General features: G+C 39.5%; 1 annotated feature.

The window, feature by feature from the left end:
* Nucleotides 12,022-12,580: an enhancer, noted in NCBI's record as "OCT4-NANOG hESC enhancer chr14:63527728-63528286 (GRCh37/hg19 assembly coordinates)". NCBI's record gives its function as "activates a minimal SCP1, AML or CMV promoter by ChIP-STARR-seq in primed H9 embryonic stem cells {active_cell/tissue: H9 hESC(primed)}" and the evidence as "EXISTENCE:reporter gene assay evidence [ECO:0000049][PMID:30033119]".

The raw sequence follows: 16,813 nt of genomic DNA on the forward strand, positions 1-16,813 counted from the left end.
GGAAGTGATGATTTGGAATTACTACTGATTCACTGAAGGACTCTTTTATCAAATACCCCTCCTCTGAAGATTTTCTAATATAGTTTACTTGACAGTAGCTGTAATTATATGTAAATTTTCAAAAATGCATTACAAATAGGTACAGTTGGACTTACTCTTTGATCCCTTTTGTGCAAATGATCCAAGCACTACTTTCTCGGGAAATTTTTATCCTGTTTCCTGCTTTCTGTTTCTGAGCAAACCTCAGTACAGCTCCAAGTTACAACCTGTATGTAGATGCTAAATGGGTGGCTCTGATGGAGGGATGGGAAGAAGGAAAAAAGGAAAGGGGCAAAAGTGATTCCCTATCATGGCCTCCAAGGTTGGCCTCACTAGCAGCAGCATCACTCCATTCCATTTTTAACTCCCTAAACTTCACTGCGTGCCTTTCCACAAAGCCCTATCCCAGCTCTAGCAGTGAAGCATACAAACATCACTAAATTTCTTTGCATGCACCAAATCTCACATTTACACCCATATCTTCTACCTTTCCTCCTTTCTGCTCCCCCCAACTCAGGATCGAAGTTGAGAGAAAGCAGACTAGAGAGACCTAGTGCTTGGACTGTGGACCCAGACTACCTAGAATTTAATCTTGCCTCTCCCACTTACTAGCTATATGACCCAGGGCAGGTTATTTAAGCACAACATCCCTTTCTATAAAATGGGGATAATAATTACCTATTTAATAGTGCTGATATGGAGATTAAGTTAGTTCCTACTTGAAAGCAATGCAGACAATATCTGACAGGTAATAAGCACTATGTAAGTGTTTGAAAGTAAATACATGAGCCTTTTCCTCCCCTTCAACTTTCATTTACAGTGAAGGCTCTAGATAGTGGTCACTACTAAGGTTCACCAATATCCAGTTGCCTTTTCCTGCTCCTTGAAATCAGTGTGGCTATGCAACTAATGCTGGTCAATGAAATAGGAATGGAGGGAAAGGGTGTTACTTCCAAGTGAGCATCTAAGAACCAGGACTTATTTTCTCATCTTCCTCTTCCCCTGCCTCAGTGACTAGGGAATGCCAAGAAATACAAGGAGAACACCTGCCCAAAAGTGTTACCTAGACCTCAGTAGACATTATATAAGCAGGAAATAAACCTTTGTTGTGTCAAGATACTGACAATCCAGCACTATTTGTTACTGTGCCATAACCTAGTCTATCTATCCTGGCTGGTACAGGTTATTAACTTGCTTTGGGAACAGGAGATCAGAGGAACAATAATTCTCCATCCTGACTGCACATTACAGTCACCTGGAGACTTTGTAAGAATCCCAAAGCCACAGCCCAGACCAAGTAAATCAAAATTCCAAAGGATGAGACACAGGCATTACTATTTTTTTTTAAAGTTCCCCAGGTGATTTCTTTTTTTCTTCTTCTTTTTTTTTTTTTAAATGGAGTCTTGTTCTGTCACCAGGCTGGAGTGCAGTGGTGCAATCTCGGCTCACTGCAACTTCCGCCTCTTGGGTTCAAGCAATTCTCCTGCCTCAGCCTCCCAAGTAGCTGGGACTATAGGTGCCCACCACCAAACCCAGCTAATTTTTGTATTTTTAGTACAATTGGGGTTTCACCATGTTGGCCAGGATGGTCTTGATCTCTTGACCTCATGATCAGCCCGCCTCGGCCTCCCAAAGTGCTGGCATTACAGGCATGAGCCACTGCACGCGGCCGTGATTTCTATATGTATCAAGGTTTAGAACCACTGACCTAGAACAAGGCTGCATCCTATGGGAATCTCTGGGGTTTCAATACTGTATGAAAATCCTCAGCTCCCAAGGATCATACCTTCAGTTTCACCTCTCCCACAAAGGCTCTATTACATGCAGCTGTGAGTTTCTGTGTACTTGTATCTGCTGAGCAGCCCAGAAGAGAACCACAAAACCTCCCAGACTAATGCACCATAAATTGAAGGCCTCCTAACTCAACTTGACCTTCTCAATACAGCCCAATCCTTCTGTACATCCTGATCAGCTGCATTTTCCATTATCTGCTGTAGCTTTCTCAAAGCATCTTGTCTCTTTTCACACCTCAGTCATCACTTTTTCACCTCCCAGTCTCAGAAGATCACTCGTAGAAAACAGGTCATGATGTCAATTCTTAGACTTCCTGCCATTGCTCTCTCTTCCTTTTCTTCTTTCTTCCAAACAAATAGAAAGCAATTTCTCTCACCATCCCTCCATCACTGATCTGGATCCTATTCATTTGGGCCTCTGGAGACCTCATTTTGCTGACTGTCCCCTCATTTCTCACTTTGACATTTAACATGCTTTAAAAATGCTTTCTTAACTTGTTATTTCCCTCAAGATTTGGCTCTGTCTCTCCTATCTCTTCATGGTCAATCTTCTGAGAAGTCTGTGATAGGTGTCTCCACTTTCTTGCCTCCTATTCACTCCTTAACCCCCAACAAATTGGCCTCCTTTCAACTGTTTTCCTGAAGTTGCCTCCCCAAAGGTAATTTTTAAATTGCGAAATCCAGTGAGGCAATTTCATTGCTAATCTACTTTACCCACCTATGACGTTTGAGCCTATTACTAATCCTTTCTTCTTGAAACATTCTCCTACCTTAGACTGACTTGTTTTGAATACTGATGCTGTAATCTCAGCATGCATTTTCATTAACCTATCTGTGCCTCAGGGTTTTTTTTCTGTAAAAAAAATTAATAATGCCTACCACATATGGTTGATGTAAGAATTAAATGAGATAGTACAGGTGGAGAATCTTGCATCCAGCTTTCTGAAATAGAAAACTCTGATATCCTACGGGTTTTTTTCATAAATTTTTTACAAACTCATTTGCCAATAAAACCTGACCTGAACTGTTAGGTGGCTATTTGTACTCTTTTTTTTATCCCATCTGCTGTGGATATTGACCATGTCTTGCTGCACAGATATTCATGTGTTTGAAAACAGAGATTGCTGCCCCTAACCCCAGTGAGACAGATACAAATACATAGAAATCCACAAATATCTGAATTCCAAAACACAGATCTTTTTCCTGCAACTGTAGATACCCATACCCATGGACTGACTGGCAATTCCACGGGAATCTCTAACATATTCAAAACAAATGAATCATCTTGCAGCCTGCCCAAACTCTCTCCCCCTCCAGTGTTTCTTATCTCAGGAGCTACCTCTATCCACCCAGTTATCCAAGTTAGTAACATCAACACTTCTCTACCCCCGACTCCACATCCAGTCCTATTCATTCAACCTCCCAGATATCTCTTTAAACTATCCACCTCTCACTCTCTCTGTTGGCTCTGCTCCAGGTCAGGCCCCGTCATTTTTTACTTGGATTTCCACATCAGCCTTCCAACTGGTCTCCCTTCTTCCTGTGTTTTCCGGCCATACATAGTCCTCTCTATTTTCTTCTCCAAGCTCCACCACAGTTCATTTTTCCCCCTGCACTATAGCTAAAGTGATCTTTCTAATGCATAAATCTGTTATGTCATTTCCCTGTGTAAACACTTCTAAGTCTCTTTGCCCCCAGGTGAAAGCTCAAAGCCCTTACCTGGCCTTTTTATATCCTTCCCTATCTGACTCCTGCTTATCTATCCAGGATCAACTCTCATCATTCCCCATTCCAACCCTCCACCTTCATACTTCCTCCCTCCCTATGTCCCTTTGTATTCCTTGTGCTTACTATGCTGTCTCTTTCTTCCTCCACCAATGTCCTGCATCACTAGCCACTAGCCACCTTACTTCAGACACTATATGAGATGTCATTGCCTTCAAGAGGCCTTCTTTGACTCTCCATGACCTGGTAAACAGCCCTTCCTTCCTGTAAGTTCTTCTAATACCACTCTATGCTTCCTCTGTTGCAACATTGTACCTCACTCTTTGCATCTCAATGTTGTTAAGACAAAAATAATAATAATAAAAAAGAAAAGATTGCAAATACAGTTGAAATCTTATGTATCTCTTCACCAGAACTGCCACTAGTGCTTTTGGCATCTTCGTGAGAATTAGGAAAAGAAGTCCCTTCTGGCCAGTCATAGGGCCAAGTCACAGCACACCGATTGATGAGATATTTGTGGGCTGGATTTCAGCCTCTATTTTTTCCCTTAATGGGTGTGCTTGGTGGGAAGAAGGAGGGAGCTTTCTAGCTGACAGAACTAGAAAAAAGGAAAATCATAATGATAAGAAAGCTTGTGATATGTGACTAACAGTAGACAAAATGAACCTTTAAATGGAAGATAGAATTGGAGGCAGTTAGGGGCTCATCAGGCCAACTTAAGGGGTTTGGACTTTATTCTGTAGGCAATGAAAGACATATTTTGAGTAAATATGTGACATGGTATTTGAGGAGAAAAAATCAGTTTCTGATTGAAGATGCTTTAGGGAGAGAAAAGTCCAGGATTGAAAAAACTACTTAAGAGACCCCTATATACAAGAAGCTGATATTTTTGAAATATTAAATTATTCCCAAGCCCCATATTTACTGTCACCCTCTTGCTTTCATTGTATCATCATTCCTCACCACAGCTCACCTCTTCCTGGCTTTTGAATTTCAAGTCTAAGCATTAGAACAGAAATACAATGAGAAAAGTGTTATAATAAAGGCTCTATACATTCTTACCCGGTGTTAGTCACTGTTCTAAATACTTTACACGAATGGTCTCATTTAATCTCATTTAATTTTAATAGAGCAAAATTGAATTTAATTCAATTCAACAAATATTTATTATGCATCTATACACCAGGCACCATAGTAGGTATTTACATTATCCTCATTGAACCAAAAAGAAACTGAGAAACAGAGAAGTTCAGTAACTGGCACAAGGTCACAAAGGTAGTATGTGATGGAGTCAGGATTATGTCCTCAGGTACTCTGTCTTCAAAGCCCAAATGCTTAGCCATCTATTTCACCATTGCACTACACTGTCACCCAAAAGATTTTGAAAATATCTAAGAACCAGCTGTCTCATATGCTCCACATCCACCCTAAATGAGAAAAAAATTCCCCTGTGCTAAGGGAAGGAAGACAAGTTGGAGAAGAAGAGTAAGGAGGACCTTCTCCTGCCACAATGCAGGGAGAGCTGTGGATCTCCAAGGAAAATAACACAAACCTCAGATGTAAATTTGGAGACACAAATATTTAAACCATAGCAACATTGTGAAAAATAAAAATTTTAGGAAATATTCTTCTAATATTAAAAAACTACTATCAAATGACACATAATTACAATTAGATAAGAGAAATAAACTTCAAGGGATCTCATTGTACAGCAATGTGACTATAGTTAATGGTGATATATTGTAGTCTTGAAAAATGTAAAGTGAATGGATGTTAAGTGTTCTTACCACAGAAATGACAACTATGTGAGGTAATGCACTTGTTAATTAGCCAGATTTAATCATCCCACAATGTATATGTACTTCAAAACATGTTGTACACCACAAAAATATACAATGTTAGCTGTCATTTTAAAAAAGATTTTTTAACTATCAAATTTAACAAAGAAGTCACACACAACATTGACAAATGTATAAATTTTTAGAATATATCTTCATTGTTCCATTTTCATCATTAAGATAAAGGAAAATACCAACCAATGTTCCTGTTGGAACTACCTTATCATCAATTGTAACCATAGGTTGGCTACAGATGCAAGAGTGAGGCAAAAACCGGTGAAAGTATCCTGTGAGAATGAGTAGGTCACATGGAATTTGCAAAAAGAGAGATGACTATTTTAATAGTATTTGAAAATTATGTGCTACATATCCTTTTATCAGTAGAATTTATAATAAATTTAAATATGTATATATGTGTGTGTATGTATATATATATGCGTACATATATATATATACATGCATGTTTTTCTCTTGAGAGCCACCTGTTAAACCTTTACCCTCACGTCACTGTGCAATTTGCCACTTCAAAGTTTAGCAATCCCAGTGCAAAGATAAATTTCTCTCTCCCTAACATCCAAATATCAGTCCAGAGGAAGCCCTTGATTTGCCCTACCAGGATCACATGTCTACATGCTAGTATCTGCACCAAGAATGGGTGCGGAGGGGCTGTATTACTGTAACTGACCAAGCCTGGCATATGCTCTATCCTGGCTGCTGAGCAATGCAGCATTTGGTAGTCTCACTAACTATGGAGATAGACACAGTTCTCTAGAAGGAATAATGTTGCAGAGCAAACAAAAACAATACACACTCATTATAGTAGGTCCTCAATAAGTGGTAGCCACTATGATCTCTAACCTTTTTTTTTTTGAGACAGAGTCTCGCTCTGTCGCCCAGGCTGGAGTGCAGTGGCACGATCTCGGCTCACTGCAACCTCTGCCTCCTGGGTTCCAACAATTCTCCTGCCTCAGCCTCCCGAGTAGCTGGGACTACAGGCATGCATCACCACGCCCGGCTAATTGGTTTTTTTTTTTTTTTTTGGATTTTCAGTAGAGACGGGGTTTCACCATGTTGGCCAGGATGGATCTCTAACTATTTAATCTCTAGAAAGAAAATTAGCAACAATGTACTTATTTAGTAGTACATGTGACATTTTAAGATTTAAAAATCCCCAACTCATTTAAATGTTCTCCTTTCTCCAAGGCCTCTATAGGGTTCTGACCATTAGCTGTTCATGCATTGCTTCTTTCTCTTAACTAGCACTTCCTAAGTCCCTAATCTGTTCAAGGAACTGGGCTAGGTGCTGTGGATCTGCTTCAGTTTACTCTATATTTGATAAGTGGCAATCTAGCCTGATCACAAGCCCATCTGTTGTGTCACAAACATCCTGTCCTGAATATGCTACCACTTCTTAAAAAAACAGCTTATGCTACCTCAGCTTCAGTAGACTAATTGAACCAAACATGTTCAAAGAAGCAAACTCTAAGAATAAATCCCCAAATGTCAACGCTGTCTAGGAGGAATGAAGAAACATATGGGATCCCAGGCATTCTTCAAATTGTGCATGCCAAAGTGTTGGAGGGGCTGGGCTCCAACAGCAGTTTTATGCCTTCCAGAAAAGTTGTGTGGTCATGTAGTTCTAATTGTAACCTTGAAAACAAATAAATAGGGCATTTAAACAGTCGTTGCAAATAAGATTCTTATCACAAAGGGCCATTCTGTTGCATTCTATTTGTAGTATAAAGCACTGTTACATACAGCTTTAAAATTGGTCAAAAAAGTCCTCTATTGTAAGAACATCCTCTGCATGTGAATTTAATGAATGCTGTTCACCCTCTATACCATCTTTGGAGAAATCAGGTCAGCATCTTCTCTGGTTATGACTATAGGGTTCTTTGGGGAAAAAAAGAAAAAAAAAAAAAAAAAAAAACCATGGCATGCATCTCACTTACTTCCAAAAGTGAACAAATGGCTCTTATGCCAGAAAGAAATAGATCAAAGTGGCTCAGATGTGTAAACCAGAAGCAGTTAAAAGAGTTTTGGTTTAAAGGATATGTATGGACCAAAAAGAAAACAAAAACTTAAGAAGTGAAAGGAGACAGCTCAGCTCACATCAAGAGAGAAAGAACAGTCTAAAATAGTCCAGAGGACTCTATAGACACAGGCCAGAACCTGCACCATTGGCGGATGAGATAGGAGAAAGAAACTAGGAATAGGGCTGGAGCTGGCAGGTGGGAGGCTTGAGTGACAGCTCTGTGCTAGGCTCTGCTTTAGGTATGGGTCAAAGGCAATCACCAAGACTCACTTTTCAAGACAGGTATTATTTGCCATCGCATTACAGATGAGAAAGCCAAGACTCAAAGAAGTCCATAACTTGCCCAAGGTCACACAGCTGATAAGTGGCAGAACCAAAATTCAAATTCAGGCCTGTTTAGCTCCAAAGCCCTCTTCCTATAGGCCAGCCCAGTGAAACTGGACAGCAAGCATCCAAATCCCAACATCCAAAGAGATAGTGGTGAACTTGACTATAATGTCGGCTGTCACTCATACCCGGAGGTGGAGCATGGCAAAAAGCTTAGAAGGTGGCAATATTTTCAGCCAGGTGGGTGGAACAGGTAGGGAAGGGTGGAAAGCTAAATAGAGGAGAACAATCTGTCTGATTAAAGGCAACATCTCAGCCAATGGCTAGGGATGGAATCAGGAACAAATCAGGCTTCAGCAAGAGGGGCTGGTATGGCTGTAGTCACGAAACCACAAGTCCTAGCCTCCAACTTGAGTTCAAACCTAAACTAGGGGCAGAGGCCCCATCATATGGAACAGAAGGTCACAGAAGGGGGAGATGCGAGAGAAAGGGGCAGGGTCTTGGGATGAAAGTTACAGTTCAGTAGGTTGCAAGCCCCTTAGCAACTCATCCCAGAGTAACTGGACCTTAGGCTTAACGCAAGACCACACCTGGCAGGGACATACATACTTAGGTACTAAGATGCCTCAGCCTCTGAGTGGGTTAAGCCTGCAGGTTTAAAGGTCTTCAGCACTGGGATCCAAGCATGGCTGTGCAAGAAAGCCACAGAAACAACAAAATCATCAGATTATTTGTTGAGAGCCTACTCTGTGCCTGGTTCTGTGCTGCAGTCCAGGGATGCATTGGTGAATAAGACAGACACAGCCCTGCCCTCATGGAGCCTACCTTCTAGTAGAGGAGACAGACAAAGAACAAGAAACCAACAAATAAGTAAAATATTTGCAAGTCAAAAAAGTTCTAATAAAGGAAAAAACAAGAGGCAGAAATAAAAGAAAAAAGTAAGTGGGTAGATGGGTACATACAGGTGATCCTTAATCATCATGGATTTGAACTGTAGGGATCCACTTGTACACAGATTTTTTTCAATAGATGTCTTGGAAAATGTTTTGAAGATTCACATTTCAAAAAAAAATCTTTCAAATGAACCACATAGCCTAGAAATATCAAAACCAAGAAAAGTTACATATGTCATAAATGCATAAAATATATGGAGATGCTAGCCTATTTTATCATTTACCACCATAAAATATACATAAATCTACCATAAGAAGTTAAAATTTATCAAAATTTACACACGCAAACACTTACAGGCCTTACATGGTGCCATTCACAGTCAAGAGAAATGTAAACAAATGTAAAGATGCAATATTAAATCATAACTGCATAAAATTAACTGTAGTACATACTGATGACTGTAATCATTTCTTAGCCACCTCCTGTTGCTATTTAAAATGCCATGTGACGCTAATCATCTCCACGTAAGCAGTTCCTCTCTCCAGTAAATTGCAGATCTCAGTGAAAAGTGATCTCATGGTTCTCACATATCTTTCATCATATTTGATTCAATACCATAAACCTTGATAACAAGAAAACCCACACAAAGTGCCACTAGTGGTGCTGGAAGTGCTCCCAATAAGCAGAGAAAAGTCATGATATTACAAGAAAAAGTCAAATTGCTTGATATATACTGTAGATTGAGGTCTGCAGCTGCGATAACCCACCATTTCAGATAGCCATTCCTCTTGTAAACAGATGGCTTAAACTTATGTCATTGATAAATACAGTACAGTACTGTCAATGTATTTTTTTCTTACCTTATGATTTTTCTTTATCACATTTTCTTTAGTGTAAGAATACAGTATATAATGCATACAACATACAAAATATGTGTTAATCAACTGCCTATGTTATCTGTATGGCTTCCAGTCAACAGTAGACTGTTGGTAATTAAATTATTGGGGGTTCAAAAGTTATACAGGTGTCAGCACCACTAACCCCCATGCTGTTCAAGGGTCAACTATACTTTAAATGTTCAGTGAAAATCTCTCTGTATACAGCACATTTACGTTGCAAACTAGGGGAAGGAAAGAAGTTAAGCCCAAAAGAAATAGAAGGAATGGCAGGCCAGGCAGAGGAAGCAGCATGACTGTGTAACTGACCTTAGGTGGAAAAAAGTTGGGGATGTTCAAGAAACTGTAAGAAAGGGGCACTGGAGCAGAGGGAGTAAGACAGAGAGAGCTGCAAAGAGATGCTGGGAGGCAAATAAATGCCATAGCATTCAGGGTTTGTAGACCAAAGCAAGGAATTAAAACTTTCCCTTGAAGTCAAAGTAAAAGGGGAACCACTGAGATATTTTAAGGTAGCCTATAGGCATGATCATTAATGGGGGGCCTCATCGTCTTCTTTATTAGTAAGCAATTGATCCAAACAATTACATTACAAATGGGTATTATTATTAAACATAAAGAGTAAATTTTATTATTAGCAATGCATTAACTTTTCATTTTTGTAGCTTCAAGTGCCAAGAAACCTTGTTCACATAAATAACAAGATATGAATGAAAGAAATTTTGTTATAACAGTATCAGTCCATCTTTGTATGACATGATCACCTCTGCAGCTGTGTGGCAGAAGTCCAGAGGAAAGAGTGGGAGAAAGTGAGAAGGCTGTTACCATCCTATAGGCAAGGAACAAAACAGACAGTGGAAACAGATAGAAGATGGCAGGTCAGAGATACATTTTGAAGATAAAATCAGCATGGACTCACCGATGGAATGGGTGTAGAAAGTGAGGATATGGGAGGAGGCAGGGATAGCTCTTCCCTTCTTGCCTGCAGCAACTGGAAGAACAGTGGTGCTGTTGACTGAGATGGGGAAGACCAGTTGGCAAAAGATGTGTTTCAAAAGAGAGCTGCGTTTTGGACATTTTGAATTTGATATGCCAAGTAGAGGCATCAAGCAGGCAATTTGATGGTTGAGTCTGGAGCTCACAGGAAAGGTTGTGGATCCCGGGAGCAGAAGATGTCCCAACCAACAGAACTCTGCAAGGATTTCGTCTTTGGGCATCTGCATTACCTCCATGTCCACATTACCTTTTCTACAATTTCCCAAATATGTTAAAATGTGCTGTTTAATAGCTGTCTTGTCTTCAGTAAAGAGATTAGAAGTAGAAAGAGATAATAATGAGACAAGAGCTACAACAAAGAGTCCAAATGCTCACAGCACTATTTATATTAGGAAAACATGAGGAGCAACCCAACTATCCATTAGTACAGACTAGACTAAATAGTCTCTACTCATAGGCTAAATAGCCTCTACTCATAGGCTAAATATTGCACATTCCTTAAATGAAATCTAGTTCAGCCACCTTGGAATTGCTACTATATATCTACATTTATTTTATTTTCTATTATGAAAAGATATCCACAATATATTATGCAGGGGGAAAAATCATATTATAAAAACAACATATGCTGTATAAATCATGCCTTTTTTCATTAGAGAGAAATTGATAACCATATTGATATGGTCCCCAAATATGCTTCCCTTAGGTATATTTTTCCCTGAGCAAAATGTATACACCAAAATTTGAATCATTGTTGCTTTGGGTGGGGAACTTCTGGGTGAGTTTTACTTTCTTGTTCACACTTTAATGCGTTACCAGATAATTTTTACAATGAGCACACATTTCTATGCATGTATGCTTTTACCTCTGCTTTTATAATCAGAATGAGCCAAAAAAAAAAGAAAAAAGCCATTTTCACTTAGGAAGAACTAGACAAACAACAGTCTAGAAACTTTAGGTGGTAGCCGGAAAGAGCCAGGCTGGCAGCCAGCTGCTCTGCCACTGCCGTGATCAAAACACAGTTTGTGTTTATTCAGTTAAATTCAACAAACATTTCCCATACACCTACTCTGGGCCAGGCTCTGCTTAGATGATGAGGAAGCATAGATGAATCCAATCTTAGTCCTAGGCCTCTATAAACTCACAAGGAAATAACCTGGCTTTAAACACAGTTATAGAAGATTGTATTCGTTTGCTGAGCTGCCATAGCAAAATACCACAGACTGGGTGGCTTAAACAACAAAAATGTATTCCCTCATAGCTGGAAGCTGGAAGTCCAAGATCAAGGTCTCAGCAGGGTTTGTTTCTTCCGAGCCCTCTGTCCTTGTCTTGCAGATGGCCACTTTGTCTTGTGGCTTCTCATGGCCTTTACTCTATACATGTCTATGTCCTAATCTCCTCTTTTTAGGAGGGCATCAGTCAGACAGGATTAGAGCCTGATATGGTTTGGCTGTGTCCCCACCCAAATCTCATCTTGAATTCCCATGTATTTTGGGAGGGACCTGATGGGAGGTAATTGAATCATGGGGCAGGTCTTTCTCATGCTGTTCTCATGACAGTGAATAAGTCTCACGAAATCTGATGGTTTTGAAAAACAGGAGTCTCCCTGCACAAGCTCTCTCTTCGCCTGCTGCCATCCATGTAAAATGTGACTTGCTCCTCCTTGCCTTCCACCATGATTGTGAGGCTTCCCCAACCACATGGAACTGTAAGTCCAATTAAACCTCTTTCTTTTGTAAATTGCCCAGTCTTTGGTATGTCTTTGTCAGCGGTGTGAAAACAAACTAATACAGGGCACACACTGAGAATGTCATTTTAAGTTAATTACCTCCTTAAAGGCCCTGTTTCAACATGCAAATTTCGTGGAGGACACAATTCAAATTATAACAAATATCCACATACTTAGATCTTCAGTGATAATATTCCTATTTATTTTGTGATTTACTACTGATGTCTCTTAAATTTTCTTTGTAAAATCAGAGATATTCAAAAGTAACTTACAATTAATTAAAAAAGCATATAAATAAAGACAATTACTGTCATCTTGTAAAATGATTAGGTGCAATATGACAATTTCATTTTTATGATTTACATTCAAGATAGGAAAAAATTGAGCAAAGTGCAGTGACGAAATGAATTTTTTTCATTCAGGTAACTAGGCAATTTAGAAAAGGAGCACTTAGAATGAAATTTCTAGGGAATGATTTCATATTTATTAACATAATAGAGCTTAGTAATCTATCAGTAACTCTTCACATAACCTTGTCGTATGTGTAACAAGGTGAATCAGGAGGCTGCAGTGAGTTATGATGGTACCACTGCACTCTGGCCTGGTTGAAAGAGCAAGACCCTGTCTCTAAAATAAATAATAAAATAAAATGTAAAAAGGTTAATTAGGCTTGAATAAAATCAGGGTTAAAGTGCTGAACCACCCACAAGATTTAAAGAATATTTTTCTATATCTCATGTTTGTAAAATCCACTCACTTTGTTCAGGAATGCTCAAAATCCATTCTGTTTTAAACTATATTCTGTATGTGAGGAAACAGAAAGCACCTCCTAACTGGAGAAAAGGGTGCTTTCCAAGGGACTTCATTGACCAAAAATCCAACACAAAGTAGCTGCCCATGGTCACAAAAATTAAATGGAAAAAAAGACTATTTTAAATTGAAAGCAAGCTCATTTCTTCTCAGCAATATTCAGGATAATGCTAGCAACATATCCTCCTTAGCAGACATGAAAAAACAAAAAAACCTCCTCACACACCCTCTGCATTCTCTTTTGTCTAAGATTCTACTTGAAAAACTAGAAGAGAGCTAGCAGAGCTGTCACACACACACACACACACACACACACACACACACACACACACACACAAAATAGCAGAGCATCCAAAAAAAAAAAAAAATAGTGGCCAGGCGCGGTGGCTCAGGCTTGTAATCCCAGCACTTTGGGAGGCCGAGGTGGGTGGATCACAAGGTCAGGAGTTCAAGACCAGCCTGGCCAAGATGGTGAAACCCTGTCTCTACTAAAAATACAAAAATTAGCCACGCATTGTGGCAGGTGTGCCTGTAATCCCAGCTACTCGGGAGGCTGAGGCAGAGAATTGCTTGAACCCTGTGGGGCGGAGGTTGCAGTGAGCCGAGATCATGCTACTGCACTTCAGCCTGGGTGACAGAGTGAGACTCTGTCCACCTCCCCCCCACCGACCAAAAAAAGCAACATTTATCATCACAGTGCCAGGTATAGAGTAGACAGTCAACAGATGTATAGTGGATGATTGTTTGCTCCTTCTTTGAAATGTGTTTCCCTGTTAGCTCTTGTCCTTTCTCAACTGTACCCAAAGTTCTTTTGGCAACATCCATCTCCCAATTTCAGCCAAATGGCATAGATTGCCTTATCCTGGCTACACCAGGAGAGGGTGTCTATTTGGACCAAAGTCAATCAGCATTTCCTATCCACTTTGTCAACCATGTTTGGTTTAAAGATGAGCACACCACTTCAAACTAAAGAAAAGTGCAAAGATTTTATTGAACATTCTTGGGAAGGAGAAGCTTTCTCTCTCTCTTCTGGTTGATGGATTATGAAGTCTAGAATTAAAGCAGCCATTTAGTTGTCTAAAAAGATGAACCTAATGGATCAATAGATGTAGCTTCACATCCTTGGCATCTAGATATTGTTAGAGTGACTTATTGTTCTCTCGATTGCTTAAACTATTGGAATTATGTTTTCTGTCACTTGCAACCAAAAAAATTATAACTAGTTGCAGTAAAAAATTGAATGAAAAAAGTGATAAACCAGGCATCCAACCACAGCACATGGATAAGGAAACATTGCTATAGATACATTCCATATGCAAACACTATGAGCAAAGTTGTAATGTGTCACATAACAACAAAGGGAAAAATTACTACCCATTCCCTACAAAAGATAAAATTAGGGAAAATCTGTCCAGAAGTTTTGATTCCTATCTCTTCTCTTGAATGGTCAATTTTCAAGCAACATGTGGATGATTCGCTTTATAAATTCACAGTAGAAAAGATCCAATTCCAGGAAAACTTTGTTATCCTTTCTCATCCCATGATCTGATTTGCTGTATTTGATTATTTTTATAAAATTGAGCACATATTTTGTAAATCTTGGGAATGGAACTACTTTATCTAGAAGAAAAATAAGTTATGCATTAAGGACTTTATATATGTAATCTCATCAAGCTGCATAATAACTCTGTGGGGAAGATTATAAAGTCTTCACTTTATAAGTGACAAAATAAAAGGAGCTTCAGAAAGGTTATGTAGATTGTGTAAGGTTACACAGAAATTAAATTGTAGAGTTGAGATTTCAGCCCAGGTCTAAGTACTAGAGCTGTGCTTTTGAGTTATTCATTAATTTATTCAATAATTTTGGCATGCCACTGTGATAACTGATGGAAATGCAAAAGAGAATTATTGAAAAGTTCTCCCCACAAAGAGTTTATAGGCTTGGGGAGAAGAAATAAATAAATATGTATGTATGTATAATATATGTATATATGTATAATATATAATATACATATAATATATAATATATATGTGCATGTTTATATATGTGTGTGTGTGTGTGTGTGCAGTTGAATCACCACAATACACAAAAAATGTTTTTACAGAGCAATGAACCAAGTTGGATGGAAACATAGAAGATAAAGCCCGGGAGTAAAAGAAAGGCTTCATAAAGCGGAATGATACTGAGAATCAAAAAATGATTAAGGAGAGATGAAAGAAATATCAAAGAAGAAGCCACAACACTGAGGAGAAAGAGAGAGTGAGAAGAAAGAGAAGGGGAAGGAGAAAGGGAGGGTGAGGGGGAAGAAGGAAGGCAAAAAGGAAGGAGAGAAAAAGAAAGAGTGGGGAAGGAAGAAGAGACAGAAAGCGATTGGAAGGAGAGGAGAGTAGAGGAGGGGGAGGGCAGGGGAGGGGAAGGGAGGGGAGAAAGAAAGGAAAGAAAGACAAGAAAGACAGGGCGGGCCGCGGTGGCTCACGCCTGTAATCCCAACACTTTGGGAGGCCGAGGCGGGTGGATCACGAGGTCAGGAGATCAAGACCATCCTGGCTAACACGGTGAAACCCCATCTCTACTAAAAAATACAAAAACAAAAAATTAGCCGGGTGTGGTGGCGGGCGCCTGTAGTCCCATCTACTTCGGAGGCTGAGACAGGAGAATGGCTTGAACCCGGGAGGCGGAGCTTGCAGTGAGCCAAGTTCGTGCCACTGCTCTCCAGCCTGGGTGACAGAGCAAGACTCCCTCTCAGAAAAAAAAAAAAAAAAAAAAAGACAGACAGAAGGAAGGAAGGAAGGGAGGGAGGGAGGGAGGGAGGGAAGGAGGGAGGGAGGGACAAACTAGCCTGGAAGGCGCTGGACACCAAGGATTTGGATAAGGGTGTGGGCAAGGAAGGAGAGAAATCGAAAATTAAATTGGAGAGGCCCACTACATAATAGAGTGGGAAAGGAAATACTGATATTAATATACATTTTGCCTCTTTTTAAGTAGGTTTGGGCCTAAACTGGAGACATTTTTAAGCTGTATTATCACTTTTGCTGTAGTTGTTTAAGAGGAATCATGACAATGAGATAGCAACCAAACAAATAACCATGTTCTCATTAGAAACTTTAGTGCTACGGAAGACACCAGGCTTTCTGCTCTACGATCTATGCTACAGTGGCATATTGCCAAGGAGAAGAGAACGTACTGCTGTTTGCAAAGGAGAAGAGAGAGCAAACGATCATACTGTATATACCTTATTTAAAACTTGGAAAGCAAACTGCATGGTTTTGGAAAACACCGTTGAAGCTGAAAGTTTTCAGGAATATTCAGCAATTACTGGAAATTTTCAAATACAAGGGTTTCTGCCAACCATAAAAGTGTCTACCTCTGATGTATTAGGTGGCAGAATAATGATTCATTTAATTTAATGGCAGTAGAAATAGCCAGGTGTTAATCCACCCATGCAGGCACAGCTTTAAATATATACATATATAACAGTTGCAGGGTAGAAAGAACTAGCACAGTGCTTCCTGTGTTTTGCCGCCGCTTACATAGTGAATCTCTTCTCTTTAGTATGCTAAGCTCAATGATGCACTTTCCTAATATATACAGTGACAATAGTGAATTTACAGAAAATAAAATTATTATTCACTCTGCTTGCTGCCTCCACTGTTGAAAGATAGTATTGTAATTTCAGCCACCAATATTTAACAGTGTTTATCTTGGTGAGATTTAAATTTTCAGACATAGTGAA

Source organism: Homo sapiens, chromosome 14, assembly GCF_000001405.40.
Source record: "Homo sapiens chromosome 14, GRCh38.p14 Primary Assembly".
NCBI lineage: Eukaryota > Metazoa > Chordata > Mammalia > Primates > Hominidae > Homo > Homo sapiens.